Raw genomic sequence first — 17,461 nt, 5'->3', positions numbered from 1 at the left:
AGCAGCATTTCAGAGAAAACCAAGCAGGGCCTCGATAATTATTTCAAAGTTAGCAATAAAACAGTATTCTAAAATGACCCTGAAGGGAGTGCTCAGTTCGCTAAAAGAACATGTGGTAGGCTCAGCCTTCTGCTGAATCACCTACATTGAAAAATGGGACTCTCACAATACAACTTTAAGTCTGGTTCTTCATTATTGTTCATGACACTAGGTAAACATCTAACATTTCCTATCAAGCCACTGAACAGTGGCAATGATTTTAGTATTGTCATTTCCATTGTTGAGAAATAATGAATATCACTTCATCATTCTGAAAGCATTCTATAATAGGATGGTGTAAGAATTTAGTTTTTCAAACACCAGTTATTTGTAAGATATAATTTTCTTTACTAATTTTTAATATATCCTTGATAATGCACTATATTTCTATTATACTTGAGTCTACTGTAGGTCATCGATATATTTTTATTCACTTCCACATTATTTTTAAACAAAAAAATCTCATTTTGGTATAGTTTTAGATTGAAAGAATTATTGCAAAAATAATACTGAGTTCCTATATAGCCTATATCTATCTTCTATTAGTAACATCTTACATTAGTATGGTACATTTGTTAAAATTAATGAACTAGTATTGATAAATTTTTACTAACTAATCACCACATTTTATTAAGTTTTCCTTAGTGTTTACTTATTGTCCTCTTTTGGTTTCAAGATCCCATCAATATACCACATTACATTTATTCATCAGGCCTTCTTAGCTCCCTCTTGGTTGGGACAGTTTTCCAGGCTTTCCTTCTTTGTAATGACCTTGAAAGTTTTGAGGAATACTGGGCAGGTATTTGTAGAATGTCCCTTCATTGGGATGTGTCTGATGTTATTCTCATGGGTTTATAGGTTGTTAGGATGAAGACCACAGAGGTAAAGTGCTATTTTTGATCACGTCATATCAAGGGTAGAGTCTATCAACATGATTTATCATTGTTGATCTTCACCTTGGTCACCTGGCTGAGGCAGTGTCTGTCAGTTTTCTCCACCACAAAGCTGTTTTCTCCCATCCCTTTCTATCCTATTCTCCTAGGGAGGAAGTAACTATGAACAGCCCCCACTTAAGGCACAGGGAGTCATGCTCCACCTCCTCTGGACAGAGCATCTACATAAATTATTTGCAATTTTCTGCATGGGATATTTTTCTATACTCTCCTATGTATTTATTCATCAAGCATTGCTAAAGCATGGACTCATAAATATTCATTTATAATTTGGGTTATAATCCTTAGCTACTTTATTTTAGTATTCAAATTGTTCCATCTTTGGCCATTGGGAACTCCTGTGTCCCTCTGACATACAGAAGCATTCGTGTGGTACTTCCTTACTTTCTGGCACTACAAGATGCTCTGGGCTCGTCTTGTGTATTTCATGCCCCGGTCCTAGAATCTACCATTTCTCCAAGAAGCCCTGGTTCCTGTTACTAAAAACCAAGAAAGATCTGGATGCTAGGTGTACTTGGGAGTTTTATTTTAAAATTCTAAATCTTGATGGCCTTTAAATTAAAATTTAAATGCTTTTGTTAAGCCAACGCACCAGGGAGAATGTTTTGTTTGCACAGAACCTTGTGTAACGATAAGGTGCTCTGACTCCAGCCCCTGGTTGGGAGTTGGGCGCTGCTCTGTTATCACACTTCCCGTCTGAACACCCTGGTCCTCTGTTGGGCATAGACCAACAAAATTCAACAAACCATACTTCAGAATTTCCATATAGTATATAAACACAAGTACTGCTGAATTTCAACTATGTTTATATGAGTTTCTGAATTAATAGATCAATATCGATATATTATAGAGACTGACATTTATAAACTAAGAACTTGAGATGATGGGAGCACAGAACTCAAATGTACTATTCAAATAATACACCTTTTCTATTAAAATGCTCTAAGTATCAGGATGTAAATCAGAGCTTTGCTTTCAATTGGGCCATTGGTATGTATTCTGTGATCTATGAGGGCAAGGACATTCAGGCGATACCAGGATAAATGAGGCAGAAAAGAGTCATGGAGCAGCAAAGATATTTAGACAAAATTTTAGGAATATGTATTTTCTCTAACTTCCAAGAATATAGAAATTTGAAAAGGCAGAATCTTGTAAGCTTTATAATATTCTCAAGCGTAGTTTATTCTACAACCAATAGAAAGTTAAATGGAGAGTAGATTATAATGATGTAAATCAAAAAACATCTGTATAAATACATAAAATTGCATTAAATGACTTTCTACTGTAATATCGGATTCAAGATTGTAGTCAGATTGAAAGCAGCAATATATTGAATGATTAAGTTATTAACTAAACATGAATTTTAGGTCAATACCTTTCCAAACACAACATAAATAAGATTTTCACATAAAGAAATATAACCAAATATCATTCTTTAACAAATTAATAGGCTCCAGTATTTCCTATACATTCAAAATATTGCTCACTACAATTTGAAAATGTACAGTAATTGGGAAAATTAGAAATTTAAATATTAAACATTACCTTTTAGTTTTTTTTTAAATACTAGTTTTAATATGAGAGATTAAGAGCCCAGAGAAAAATAAAGTGGTTTACCAGTTTTAAGACAGCTGACAGGAAGGCAGAAAAATCATTGGATGATATTATATTACACCAGCAAGGTTGGGACAGGGGGTATTACAAAATGGGAATTTATATCATTTAACAGGCTTCTGTGCAACTCCAAAATGTCGATTTTAAATGATGCAAGGAGGTCAGATGGCAAGTGAAGAGAAATATGCCGGGACAGATGGATAAAGGCACGCAAGAAAAGAGGAACACGGAGATAAATTCCAGTTCAGTTTAGCCATACTAAGATAAGGTCGGTGAGAGGTGTGAGCAATTTCAGTTAGGCAAAGGGATATTATCAGTTTTAGAATAATATAACCTGACATTAATGACATCCATAAACAAAGTATACAAAACTAGAAGGACCATTTTACTTTTTTAAAATGCTGAATAAAATTTCTCCTAAAGACCTAATCATTAGTTTAAGTTCACATCTTGCAAACCCTTGGTACTTTCTGCTAACATCCATTATAAAATGAATGCACCATTGCATTGAGCAAAATCTTTAAAAAGTGACAAGCCAACTAATATATTACACACCACAGGGATTCCAACATGAAAAATACTGCAAGTTCAAACTATAAACTGCCTTGTGTCTCAATAATGTCAGAGTGCTTTACGAACTGAGATGCTAAAATTCAATCTGAAATGTATTTACTTGTAGTACTGAGAATCCATGAAAACAATACATTCCTCAAAGTTCTGTTTTGTGGTGTCTGCGGACTGGGGCTGTGCTCTGCCATGCTTTTGCACAGCACCCTGATTCCTGCCCTACAAAATGCCTAGAGACACAATGAGCAAGAACCAGAATATTGGTCATGCACTCACCCGAACAACACCTGCCAGGTATTGTTTACTTAATTCTCAAAGCTTGAACGGAAACCTCAACAGGCAGACCACCTGGGAGCCAAATCCAGACACAGACATGTAACAACAGGCACAAAAACATCTGTAGAAATCAATACGTTGAGCTTCTGAACGAAGTCTTCTACAGCACATTCTCATGACAGTAGGCCATCCTGTTCAATAGTGTACCTTAATCCGCCTGGGCCATTGTCTCACAAGCAGCTCAATTTCCTCAAGGGGTAGATGGCCAATAATAGCTTACCTGACTCACAGGCAAATGTCTTCGATGTTTCATCGTGAAAGATGATTGCCACCGCATGCTTCTTTGTCTCTCGGGGCAGTCTGGTTATATTTTTGATATTGTGCAGTTCAGTTACCTTGAAAGAAAAAATATATTTAACTTAGTGTACAGTATGTATGCTGTATGTTGGAGTGCTGAAACAAAATGATAAGTTATCACAGTCTTACATGAATTTCCACGGGATATTTGTACTCATTCTGAATTGACTTTAGCCAAAAACAGTAAAGAAAAAAACAAAATGTCTTCTATTATGCCCTTAACTTTGGTCACAGACTATATTGTTTGCTGCATTTTGAAATGACCTACACATTATGTAGAAGGGTTCTATGGACTTTGTGCTTTTATTAAAAGCATATACCTGGCAAATAATAGCAGTTGTGGTATAACAGAGGATTTTCATTAAATATCTGCTGAATATTGATTGTATTTAATATCTCCTCTCTCTTAATTTTCACCTGTCATGCAAATTTCCTGTAGGCCTATGGTCCTGAGGCAACTGACACATATCTGTCAGAAAAGTGACTGGAAAGCAAGTCCATTGCTCCAAAAGGTACATTTTAGAGCAATAGACTTGCTCTCCAGAAAAATGCTCATAGTGTTCACAGACCCATACACCACTTCTCCCACCAAAGCCCATCCAAGATTTATGCACCCAGGTTAACAACAATTTATTTATTGGGCAATTAATAAATATCTAGTAGCCTTATGTATTTTGGATGTTGACTCCTTATTGGTACAAGATCTTCTGCTACAATTTGTGCATCTTTAATTTCCCCCGCAGTCAACAGAAACAAACAAATGTATATTTCCTCAACAACTCTGCAAACACAACATTGCAATAATAATATTCAATGAGTTAATTTTTTAAAATCTGCTTATCAAGGTGCGAATTTTTTCTTCTAATTTATAAGATTTCTTATTTCTAGATCCATACTGTTAACAGAAAGAAGACAGGATTAACTAGCATAGTAAACAGCAAGTTAATATCCTCTTTTATGACAACCTATGATATTATATCTATAATTATATGATCTTATAATAAATTCATTACCTTTTGACTATGCTTTAATTTCTCTTCTCCAAATGTAGAATTTTTACAGGATATAACTAGCTTTTTCAAGGCTATTTTGCTGATTAATATTTTTATAAACACAATAATTAACCACATGCATATTTATATACACATTTGCATATTATAGTTATATAATCTAATATATAATACAAATATAATCAATATTTAAGTAATATTCCTTAGGATCTATTTTCCTAAGGAAATAATATTTTATTATCTTTAATATTAAGTGTGGTTAGTTTAGCAAGCATTTATATCTGTATTTAACATTACACTATGTAGACTAGACTAAGATCCCCAATAAGAACACAAAAAAACCTAAAAATCACAGGCGAGTAATCTATAATGTGGATGGAAATGAGCAATTGGATATGTTGGAATGGAGACTACAGAGAGTGGCTGAAAGTTACTTGTCAAGGAAAATCACCCAAGTCATCAGGTATTTTTTAAAGTTACAGTTGATCATCTTTATTTGTGGTTTCTGAATCTGTGAATTCACCTACTTGCAAAAATGTATTTACAACCCCAACATAAATACACATGGCACATCTGTGGTCATTTGTAGACATGTGCATGTGCAGAGGGGTGAAAACTTTGAGTCTCCAGATATGCACGCTTCCAGCTGAGGTTGAGCAGGCGTTTGAGTCTCCAGATGTGCACGCTTCCAGCTGAGGTTGAGCAGGCGATGCTGTGTCTTATTGTGTTTGTGGTCATACTGTAGACACATGTCCTTTTCATGCTCTGCGTAGAGCCATGGCTTTTGCATTTTTGTGATTTTTCTTGTTGACTACACTTTTAAAAATGGCTCCCCAAGTGCAGCCCTAAACTGCTGTCTAGTGTCCCTAAGTTAAAGAGACTGTGATACCCCTTATGGAGAAAATACATGTGTTAGATAAGCTTTATTCAGCATGAGGTACAGTGCTGTTTGCCCTAAGTTCATTATTAGCAATCAGATATCTTTAAAGAGCAACAATAAAACGAGGTAATATAATGATCAGTTAACAAAAGCATTGTGACTAGAGGTCATTCATTAATTCATTCATGATTTGCAACTGAATGTTTGCAGAGGCTTTATAGACCATAACTACAATGAATAATGAAAATCAACTACATGCCTTAGAGATTGTTCTAGGGTTTACCATAAATATTTTAACATATCAGAATTAGCTTTAGATTGATATTGTGTTCCAGTGAAATATAGAAATCTCATATCTACATAGCTTTTTCCCTTACTGTGATATTATTTTTATACATATTGCATCTATTAATATAAATGTTACAAACCCAACATTACATCATATTTATAATTTTAATTAATTTATATAATTTTATATCTTTTAAAGAAGCTGAGAGGAGATCAAGTGTATATTTATTGCTTTTTACATTAACATTTTCTTTATAATTTCTGTATCTTTTCTTTTGTTCCTATTGACTTGAGTTACTATCTGAAGTCATTTCCATAGTCGATACAACTTTGCTGCCACCACCTCCTTTGTGTTGTTATTGGTAAATATATTAGAACTCTATATGTTATAGGCCTAAAAGTACATTATATACGTATTGTTTTATGTAATTGCCTTTTAAGTCAGTTCAGAGGAAAAAAATAAATATGCATTTATACTGTCTTTTATAATTACCTTACTGATACTGTTTTTTGTTACGGTTGGACTGGGATCACTTACTATTTCTTGTAAGGCATGTCTGTGAGTTTTAGTCTGTCTCACGATGCCTTTATTTCATCGTATTTTTTGAAGAATACAAGATTCTTTGTGGGCGTGTTTTTTTTCCCCCTTTAAGCACTTTGAATATACTTTCCACTGCCTTCCAGTCTACAGTGTTTTTAGTGAGAAGTCAGATGTTAATCTTATTGGGGTTCCTTTGTAAGTGAAGAGCAGTTTTTCTTTTGCTGCTTTCAAGATATTCCATTTGTCTTTGTCTTTCAGTATTTTTACTATGACATTCCTGATGGTATATCACTTTGCATTTATCCTACTTTGAGTTAATTGAGCTTCTGGATCTGGAATGACAGTAGTTTAATCAGGACTACCTTTCACTCTTTCTTTCCATGACCACACCCAATTATTTAGCTCCACTATTTGCAGGCTGATTTCTTTATTTTTTAAAAAAATATCCTGGGGGCATATATTACTTCACATATGGGGCCAATCCAATTTGGGATCTTTTAAAGTGATAGTTCCTGAGGTCATTGTTTTACATTGGTTCTAAATCCAGATGGGCTCCTCCCAGGTGTCTATGTTCCAGGTCCTGTCCAGCAAACTTGCTGACCTAAAGTTTAGCTTATATCTCTCATATACCTATCATTTTCTCTCAATTGCTTTTCATCACAACCTCTGTGCTTTTGTATAGTGTCCTTATGCTTAAACTTTTCCACACCCGGTTGAAAATGAAGTCAGGTGTTTTTGGAAAGAGACTGAGAACTCTGTTTTATGGTCAGCTTTATTCTTCTAGGGCAAAAATCTCTAAGCCGTGTGTCTTAGTTAGGCTTCTCTGGAGAAACAGAATGAATAGTATATATGAGGGGTCTTTGAAAGGTTCATAGAAAATGCTTATAGTGAAAAAACTACGCATGGATTAAAAATTTTTTGCACCAAAATAAATTATTAATCTCATAACTCATAAATTCACATAAACTCATCAACTTTTGTTGTAACATATCTAAATAGACTCTAGTTTGAGGCACTAAGAAGGATAAGACATCAGTTTGAAAAGAACTCCTATCAGAGAAACATGAATTCTGCTAAAATTGAAGCAAAGACAAACATCAAACTTAGGGCAAAGCTTGGGTGGAAGAACGATGAAATTATTGATGCTTCACAAAAAGTTTATGGGAAACAATGTCCAAAGAAATCAGCAGCTTACAAATAAATAAGTCTATTTAAGAAGAGACAAGATGATGTTCAAGATGAAGCCCTCAGTGGCAGATCATCCACATCAATTTTTGAGGGAAAAAAATCATCTTGTTCTTGCCTTAAGAAAGACCAACAATTAATGGCAGAACAATAGCCAAACCCACAGTCATCTCAATTGGTTCAGCTTATACAAGTCTGACAGAAAAATTAAAGTTGAACAAATTTTCCACTCAGTGAGTGCCAAAACTGTTGTGCTTAGATTAGCCACACAATTGTTTTTCTAATTCTGTAAAAAAAGACATTGGTAACTTGATAGGGATTGCATTGAATCTGTAGATTGCTTTGAGTAGTATGGTCATTTTAACAACTAAGTTTTCCAGTCCATTAACATGGCATGTCTTTGCATTTGTTCAATTCTTTCATCAGTGTTTTGCAGTTTTCCTTGTAGAGGTCTTTCACCTCCTTGGTTAAATTTGTTCCTAGATATTTTATTTTATTTTTTGAGGTATTGTAAATGAGACTGCCTTCTTGATCTCTTTTTTAACTAGTTCATTATTGGTGTATAGAAATGCCACTTCTTTTTGTATGTTGATTTTGTATGCTGCAACTTTACTGAATTTATCATATCTAAATCCACTTTGGCAGAGTCTTTAGGTGCTCCTTTTTCTTTTTTCTTTTCTTTTTTTTTCACGTAAGAGACAGAGTATCACTATATTACCCAGGCTGTTCTTGAACTTCTGATGTCAAGTGATCCTCCTGCCTCCACCTCCCAAAGTGTTAGCATTGCAGGTGTGATCCACTGTGTGAGGCCAAAATATACATTTTTCAAAATATAAGATCATCTCATCTGCAAAGAGGGACAATTTGACAATTTGACTTCTTTTCCAATCTGGATGCCTTTTATTTCTTCTTTCTTTTTTTTTTTTTTGCCTGTTTGCTCTGGCTAGGACTTCTAGTGCTATGTAGAATAGGAGGGGTGAAAGTAGGTTTTCTTTTTTTATGTCAGTTCTTAAAGGAAAGGCTTTAGCTTAGAAAATTAGTTTTAATATATCTGTTATTTATATTTGTTTTCTCCCTATTTGTAATTATCTCATTTAAAATTATCTTGAAAAATTAAAATATGTAATATGGGTGATTTTAAGTAAAATACTTAAAGAGGTTTGCTTATATATAAAAATACATATATTTGTATATGCATGTATCTGTATGTATGTATGTGTGTATATATGTGCATGTGTGTGTATGTGTGTACATGTATGTGTATACAATTTGCTATCTATCTGTCCATCCATCTATCTGAAAACATTCATTTTCCCTTTCAGTAAAAAAAAAAAATAAACATCAATGTCTTACAGTTCCTGAGAATTAATACCCTGGAGAGAAATATGAAGTTTTTTAGGAAGAGTGATTCACGGGTTGTATTTTAAGCACATTAAATCGTGTTCTGAAATAAAGCTTAACTTTGTAATTTTTAAATGATTAATGGAATCAAGTGATATTTACAACAAATTTTATTACAACAAAATAAATTGAAGTTATGTTTGAAAAGATATACCATTTTCAAATGCTACTAATTTTACCTGAACAAAGGATCTTAATGAAAATTATGTGTGGCTTAAGAATTTACATAAAAAGATAAACACAAGAATGATATACTGTTAAACTACATTACATATAATAGCTAGATGTACCATATAATAAAAACATTTATAAATCTATTTGAGAACCTTTTCCAAAGGTTTTTACTTGCAAATATAAAAGAATATTAGAACAGATATTGTGATTTCTATTTTTTTGTCCTCTTATAATAAAAATTGACAAAATAAGCTAATGGATAGCCTAGCAAAATGCAGCAAACCCCAGGGATTTTCTAATTTCAGAGCCTTAGGATATCTGACAGATGATGTAGGTCAAACACAGTGTTTGCTCTTCTGTAAAATTTACATTTAGAAATGCAGACAGCTTCTTCAAGCCCACATTGTTACAGTAGTTTTTAGAATAATGCAAGGTTTTTCATTGTTGATCAACAGTGTGATGTTATCCACTTCAGCATGTACCCTAAGAAATTAAACAGATACCAGAAAAGAAAAATATAATGAAGAGTATCAAATTCTACTTTTTTCTTTCTTTTTTTTTTTTCTTTTAAGAGACAGGGCCTTGTTCTGTGGCCCAGGCTGGCGTGAAGTGGTGAGATCACAGCTCACTGCAGCCTCAAACTCCTGGGTTCAAGCAATCCTCTTGCTTCAGCCTTCCAAGTAGCTGGGACTACAGGTGTGTGCCACCATGCCCAACTAATTTTTTTAATTTAATTTTTTTGTAGAAATGGGCTCTCTCTATGTTATACAGTCTGGTCTTAAACTCTTGGCCTCAAGCTACCTTCCAGCCTTGGCCTCCCAGAGTGTTGGGATTACAAGCATGAAATCCATCATGCCACTGTGCCTAACCAAATTCCACTTAAAAAAAAATTTTAACCATGAAAATTTAGGACAAGATCTAATGTATTTGAATATCCTATCTTCATTTCTTTTTTTACTGTCAATACTATATGGATTGACTATCATGGGAAACTCTGTATTTACTTACATAAAGAAAGCTTTTAAAATTTCTAAAATGTTTTAAAATTATGTTTTTATTAGTCTAAAACCTGTCAATGTAACATAAAAAATTATCAACATGTATTAAAATTGTGAAATCCTTGAGCTTTTCAATATCGGTAAATTATTGCATCATTAAAAATAATATGTACTTTTAAATTATTGATTTTTCACATGGTTGTAAAAGCATAAAGTACTGATTAAAGTTTAATAAAAGCATTAAACTTAATTATTTTAAGTAAATATGAAGTTGACTGAATTGAATTGAAGGAAAAATTACTTGAAAATAATTCAGGTTGTTCACATCCAAATCAATACGTTCCATGATGAAAAATTTAAAATATTAAGGTCTGATAAATGACAAGACTAATGCCTAAGTATAAATTTACCTAAATGACAACACTGCTAACAGATGTTATTTAATTGTCATTTTAAAGAGAAATCCCTAAGCAATTCACGGTGCTAGTAGAGACAAAGATGAAACACATGATCTTGTTTTTGTAGGATTTCATAATTGATTTGGAGTGGGAAAATAAAAAATAACTCTAGTAAACCCTATGAAAGAAGGAAAAATCAGAATTAAGGGAGCAGAGAGGAAGAAAGATCTTTATTTTAATTTGTGGGTTCTGCCACTTCTTTGTAGACATGACACTTGGATTTTAAAGGGTAAGTTTAAAAAAAAAAAAGAAAAAAGAAAAACAAAAGCCACCAACTCCCAAACCTTACTCTTACCCAACTTTATTCATGTGGGTTATATCTGTTAGTGATTTCTATAAGAGATATTAGAACTTATACATTCTTAAATATTTTTATTATGTGTTTAAAAAATAATAAATGAATTAATACCAACACAAACAGCATTTTAAAATGAAAATAATTCCCAAATAGTACGAAGAGGAGTGTCAACGTTTTTGCATTTTTCCAAAACTCAAATACCTGGCTTAATACAACACAGCTTAATACTCATATCTGCTTCTGAGTTTAATCTGTTTAATATATTCTTTTGATTAAGAACATATGAAGAAAATAAGGCCTTATACAGATATGAACTTGTCAACTAACCTATATTAGTCTCCTTTGATTCTTTCTCTAAGCTCAGCAAATGTTTTATTGAAGGTTATTGCAACAGGGAGTCTGATACCATGTCACATGCTTTTCCTACTCCTAGAATTCATAGGTCTAGTTTCAACTTTTAATGAGTCTTTTATCCATTATGGTTTTGTATCATCTTGGAATGATCTTTGGGAAAATACTGATTTACTCAGTTATGCAAACCTTCCCAATATTGACATTATTTTATTATACATATTTTTAAAAAAATATTTAATATCGACCTTAGTCTCTTCAGAAAAGTCCAGTTTTGAGAAGTTGTCAAGTTGAAAAATGCAGATACAAGATTCCCAAATTTTAATTTTTACTTGCAAGCTTAAATTTTCAAATTTTCAGTAAGCACTCAGTTGTTTTCCTTGATAAGACTCCCTTAGTTCATTTTTGAGAACATACGTGACAAATACCAAAGTCTGAATGACCACGGTTGTCTGTCAGTCATTCATTCATTAAAATAGCTGTTTTTTTCTTTAAGTAACTGTTAGGCTTGTGACTTCAACCATCACACATGTGCTCTCCTCAAGACAGCCATCCCATATCAGTATACAGCAGAAGTGACCTATGAGTTCTATTTATTTTGTCAAGTAGAATATTAAAAAGACACACTTGGAAGTCTAGATGTAAAATTAGTATTTCTTACTACTTCATCAAGGAGATTCTTAAGTAAAATGAGAATAAAATTGGCATGTTTATTTGTGTGTTTACTTATTTAGGTAACTGCATGATTGTAAAAAATATAACTGCTACTATTGTTTGGAGCCACGGCCTTGATGGATGTTATAGTTTTAATTACTGTTGCAAATGCACCAAAACAGTGAAAATGAAAACCAGTAGAAAAGACAAGTAACACAGAAGCATTGTGATGAAAGGGTGTTGTTTTCACGGACCACTCTGAGATCCACTTTTCCATGTATAACCTCCTCCTGGACCCACAACATCTGTTCTGTCATGAAATTTTGTCAGTTCTACTTCTTGAACATTCTCCTACCTATTCCTTCCTCTTCACATTAGTGACTCATTTAAGCCCTCACTCTTTCTCTTCCGAAATATTTTCATTATGTTCCCATCAGCCTCCATGGTCCTCACCTTTCATTATCTTGATCACACTGTTTTCAGACTAATATTTCTTAACCATACATTTAATCATGCCCTTCAAGGACCTAAGCCTATTTGATAACATCTTAAAAATGAAATTTTCAGTCTTTAGCAAGAACTAGAAGGCTTTCCATGATTTAGTTGCTACCTGCACATCTAATCTCATCTTTTTCCAACTCTCAACACAAGCTAAGTTCCAGCCGTATACAAAGTCTTTCAATTTTCCTGAATAAAAAGCATGGTATTTAAAGGTTAGGAAGGTTTTCACAAAATAATCCACTTGGAGTATGCTGATCTCGCATATTTCTATCAAACTAACAATCATTCTTCAAGACCAATGGGCAGGTCTTCCCTGAGTGACTCATACAGAGTTCATAATTCATTCCTGGACAGACCTTTTCTCTAGAACTTGGCAATTTGATCTAAACTCAGATGCTTCTGGCTCATTATGAAATCCGTTTGTGTTCTTATGCAGGACACAGTAAGTAAAAATAGTTAATTTTCATTCATTAATGTCATTTACTTAGTTCTTTGCATATCTAGACTTCAACATAGGATTTATTTACTTATTCATTTGTGAGTTTTGACAGTGTGCTGTTCACTGTGAAGACCACTAGGCATTTATTAAGTGATTATTCCTTTCATAGCCTATGGGAGAAGCAAAGACTGAAGAATAGGATTTATTCTCTTAGGGTATATGCTGTGAGAGGGAGGGCATATTTAGATATTTTAGGAGTTATAAATAGAAGAACAAACATCAGAGAGAAACTTTGCTTCAATTTTAGTTCAAAAAGGTTAATAAGATTTTACCTGTTCCACCATTACTACCATTTAAGTGGAGGTATATGATATGGGCTTAAGGACATAGCGATATTTTCTCCAGTTAAGCCCAAGTTTTTCAGTTATTTTATTTGCATGCTCGGTAAAATTTGGAATATATAATTTATATTTAACTGTGCATTTTAAAAACATCATGCTATTTATTTTATGCATCTTTTCTTTTAGCCTAACTGGGCAAATTAAGTGGAATATTACCACTCAATGCAGATCTTACTCACTACAATTGCATTTACACTATTTACTACATACATAAATAGGCAAAACCACATATTTACTATAATTATTAGCTTTAATGTGCCTCTTTTCAGTTTGCATCATGATAATTGAGATTAGATTATCTGACCATTAAAGCACTAATATTCTTTCTTTAAACCTATCTTTTGAAAAGTGAAATTACTTTCTAGATTTTTTCAAGTAGAGTCAAATGAATTAGAACATAAATTTTACTATTCTTTCATACTAATCTTACTAATAATTCTTATTAATCTGGGTATTTTACTAATCTCCTATGGTTGTTTTAATTAAGTCAAAGATTTTACTTTTGAGAGTAAAATAGTACCTTCTAGGAGCAAGTTTAATACAACTTTATTAGGATGGAAAATATTTATTTTCTACTAAGAAAAGAAAATGAAAATTTTACTGCATTTTCGTTATTACAATAAATATAGGTTAATCTCTCTATGCTTGAATCCTAAGCTTTCATAACAATAATTTAAATATTTGTATTACCTCATACATTATATGCTTCAATATCTGGATCATGAAATTTGCATAGAAATTTTACTATTGCTTTTTTCCAACTAAATTTATATCAATTTTCCAGTAGCTGCTTCCTTATATTTGCCTCCTGTTGCTGATAAAAATGAATGTGTACAAAAAAAGAAATCAATTTAATTCATTCTTAAAGCTACCTGTGACAGACATGTGCTCTGACACAATTCTCCCATGGCTCACCACTTGACTATCCCAATACGTTTATTATTAATAATTACAAGCTTAATCTTTTACATCTTTGACATAAACCACATTATAAAATGCCTCATCTAAAATGAATTATATCAATATAATTATAATATAATTATATGCATAATGATATTAGAATTAAAATTAACTATAATACTCTCTCCATTGGCTGTCTACTCAACATCCAGCTCCAATTCCTTCACTCTTACCAGAACCTGATTTTGTTCCGTTATCTGCCCCTCCAACAAGCAGCCAGTGTGTGTCCTGGTGGGAATCTCTCAGCCCTAGTATCTCAGTACAACTCATTATTCCAAGGGTAAAGTTTCCTTGCCTGTGATTAGTTTAGAAAAGGGAATATGAGCCACACATGGCTAATGTGATGTGACTAGAAGTCTCCTAGTGGTAGCTTCATGATAAAACCAGCCTTCCTCTCTAGTGCTGCTGCCCTATCGGAATGTCATAACTAAGAAATGCTACAGCTGCCACTCTACTAGATTGAAGAGGATGAGGCAATCCTAAGGATGGAAGAACACAGAGAGAGGAAAAACACACATGTTTTAACTGTTTAGCAAGAGTTACCGAATCAAGCAACCTTGAAGCCAGTTTCTTTTTCTGCTATAATATGTAATAATGTACATTTGAAACTTGTTTGTGTTGGGTTTCTGTTATTCACAGTCCCTAAAATTTCTAACTGATAAAGCAAGCTTAGAGTGGAGCTTGCCTCATTTTACAAATGGCAAAATGGCTATCCTGATTTTGGTCTCTATCATACAGTTAATGTCATAGAGAGAATAAGGGCCAAATTTCTTAGTTCTCAGGCTAGTACACTTTTTCCACCAATTCATGCAATAGCCATTATTCTGAAAGTCATGTGATTTATCAATGGTAAATACCAGCTAAAACAAGAAGTTATTACAGAGAAGAATTCAACTATAAAAGAGACTCAAATTGCAGGGATGATGAAAAGAAGCCCAGAAAAACCTCATTACCTTATTATGCCTAAATTATTATGAGACTGTCTATGATAAAACAGAAAGACAATCTATATTCAAGTCTGGGAAATACAGAAAATCAGTATATAGAAATATAGGCGCCGAAGTAGAAAATCTTGGCACTTACTTCTCGTGTGTGTGTGTGTGTGTGTGTGTTTAAATTTACATCTAATAACATGCTCCACTGACTCCAAAAACAAAAATTCACAAAACAACTCAGTCAGTTACAACATCGCTCTTACTTTGAGAGCTGCAATTTTACCACACGGATATTATCAGATACTATACAGCTACTATGGCTTTACCTAGCAGATGGACAAACTTAAATCTCTTCATTATTGTAATGGGTTGCACAGCGGGTCCTGGGAAGGTATGTCCAAGTCCTAGTCCCTAGAACCTGCGTATGTGCCCTTATTTGGAAAAGGGGTCTTTGTAGATGTAATTGAGGACCTTGAGAGGACATCATTCTAAATTTAGTGTAGGCCTTAAATCTAATGGCAAGTGTCTTTACAAGAGACGAGGAGAGGGAGATTTGAGACAAAGACACAGGGAGATGGCCCTGAGAAGATGGAGGCAGAGATAGAAGTTATGTTGCGCTAACCAAGGAAGACCTGGAACCACTGGATGCTGAAAAATGCAAGCAAGGAGACCCCCTTGGAAGCTTTGGGAGAGTGTGGCCCCGCAGACACCTTGATTTCTGACTTTTGGCATCCAGAACTGTAAGAGAATAAATTTCTGTGTTTTTAAGCCACCAAGTTTTTGGTAATTTGTGAGGCCAGCCCCAATTACTACAATGACACAGATTATGAGAAGATAAGCAGTGCCGTCTGTATTAGAGTTAGTTATTACATGAACGTAAAATAGAAAGACAACCACGAAAATTTTCTATATAGCCCCATTTCTCCAGTAAGATATTTGTTTCTTTAAAAGCAAGGGATACATCCCTGCTTATTCAGTGTCACCTGAAGGCATTAAATATGCTTTTCTTTTTTTATTCTTTATTTATTATTTATTTTTGATTGCTAGGAAGTCCACACAGCTCTCTAATGTGCCTCCCCCAGAGGCTGGGCAGGTGATTGATGGGCAGCCTGTGGGAGGTGAAGTTCCATTCGGGCAAGAGCTCCTTGTCAACGAGCCCTGTCAGTATCGGGGCCCCAGGAGGAAATGCAGGGAAAACGCAGCTAAGCACAAAGCCTCTCTTTGGAAAAATAATTTACTGCTATCTGATGGGGGCCGCAGCAAGCAGCACAGCTGACCTGTTACTGAGCTGGTGAGCTCTTCATCTGCCCTCTGGGGCTACCTCCTCTCCACTGGGAAACTAGCCAGTAGGGTCCGGGGACATCCACCTGCAGAAGAGGTCATTCAAACGTTCAGATGGGAAGTCCTGAATTTTTCAGAGGGAATGGCTTGCTCTGTTCTTTGTAACCAATCATAGTTTATTTTATTTATTTATTTACTTTTTTCTGGCTTGGGCACATTAACAGGGAACAAAAGAGTAGCACGGCAGAGGGCCTGCTGTCAACCTGAGATGCTAGGCTGAATGACCCTGGAGAAGACAGCCAGTAGGTCCACTCTTGCCCATAATAAAATTATGAGGAGTCTCCGGGTCACCCTCTTCAAACAGATAAAACATTTCTTTGTCAAAAAGCTCCTTTATACTCCTGTGGTCTATCATCATAAACTTGGGATTTTCACAAAGATCTTGAGAAAATACGTGGCTAATATTTAAGCAAGTCATTCTGCTAGTTGTGGTTTCGGTAACTGCTTCTCGTTGGCATTTCTGGAATCAAAACAGGATTGTTTACTCGTTTAATAAAGAAGTTCCCTGTTTACTGCACACATCTGACAGCTGGGAAGAACTACCATGAGTTGGCCAGGATTGCTGACCTACCATTATATATAAGACAGAAAATATAGAGAGATCAAGTTCTGGTGGCATGAAAAACACTGACAACAGCTTGAGAGATCATTGCCTTAAAAATGTTGTTGCAGCTGTTCAAAAGATACAAGGCTATGATTAGGGACAGATTGCTGACATACATCAACTTTTAAAAGTGTCACAAGCTGGGTTCTAAGTGGAAATAAAAATGGAAAAGCTTAGGAGAAACTGCTTGCATGTGATGACATTGTATCAGTCTATGAATGTTATTCAAGTTCAAA

General features: G+C 34.2%; 1 protein-coding gene across 1 annotated transcript in view; it reads right to left on the bottom strand.

Annotated features, from left to right (window-relative positions):
- The window catches only part of DOK6 (docking protein 6), a 448,200-nt gene that overhangs the window by 245,860 nt on the left and 184,879 nt on the right, over positions 1-17,461 (bottom strand). Inside the window, exon 3 of the mRNA NM_152721.6 lies at positions 3,730-3,844. Coding sequence (NP_689934.2) covers positions 3,730-3,844 — 115 coding nt within the window. The remainder of the gene's footprint in view (positions 1-3,729; positions 3,845-17,461) is intronic.

The sequence above is a fragment of the Homo sapiens genome, chromosome 18, assembly GCF_000001405.40.
Source record: "Homo sapiens chromosome 18, GRCh38.p14 Primary Assembly".
NCBI classification, from domain to species: Eukaryota; Metazoa; Chordata; class Mammalia; order Primates; family Hominidae; genus Homo; species Homo sapiens.
This window is presented reverse-complemented; position numbering and strand designations above follow the sequence as displayed.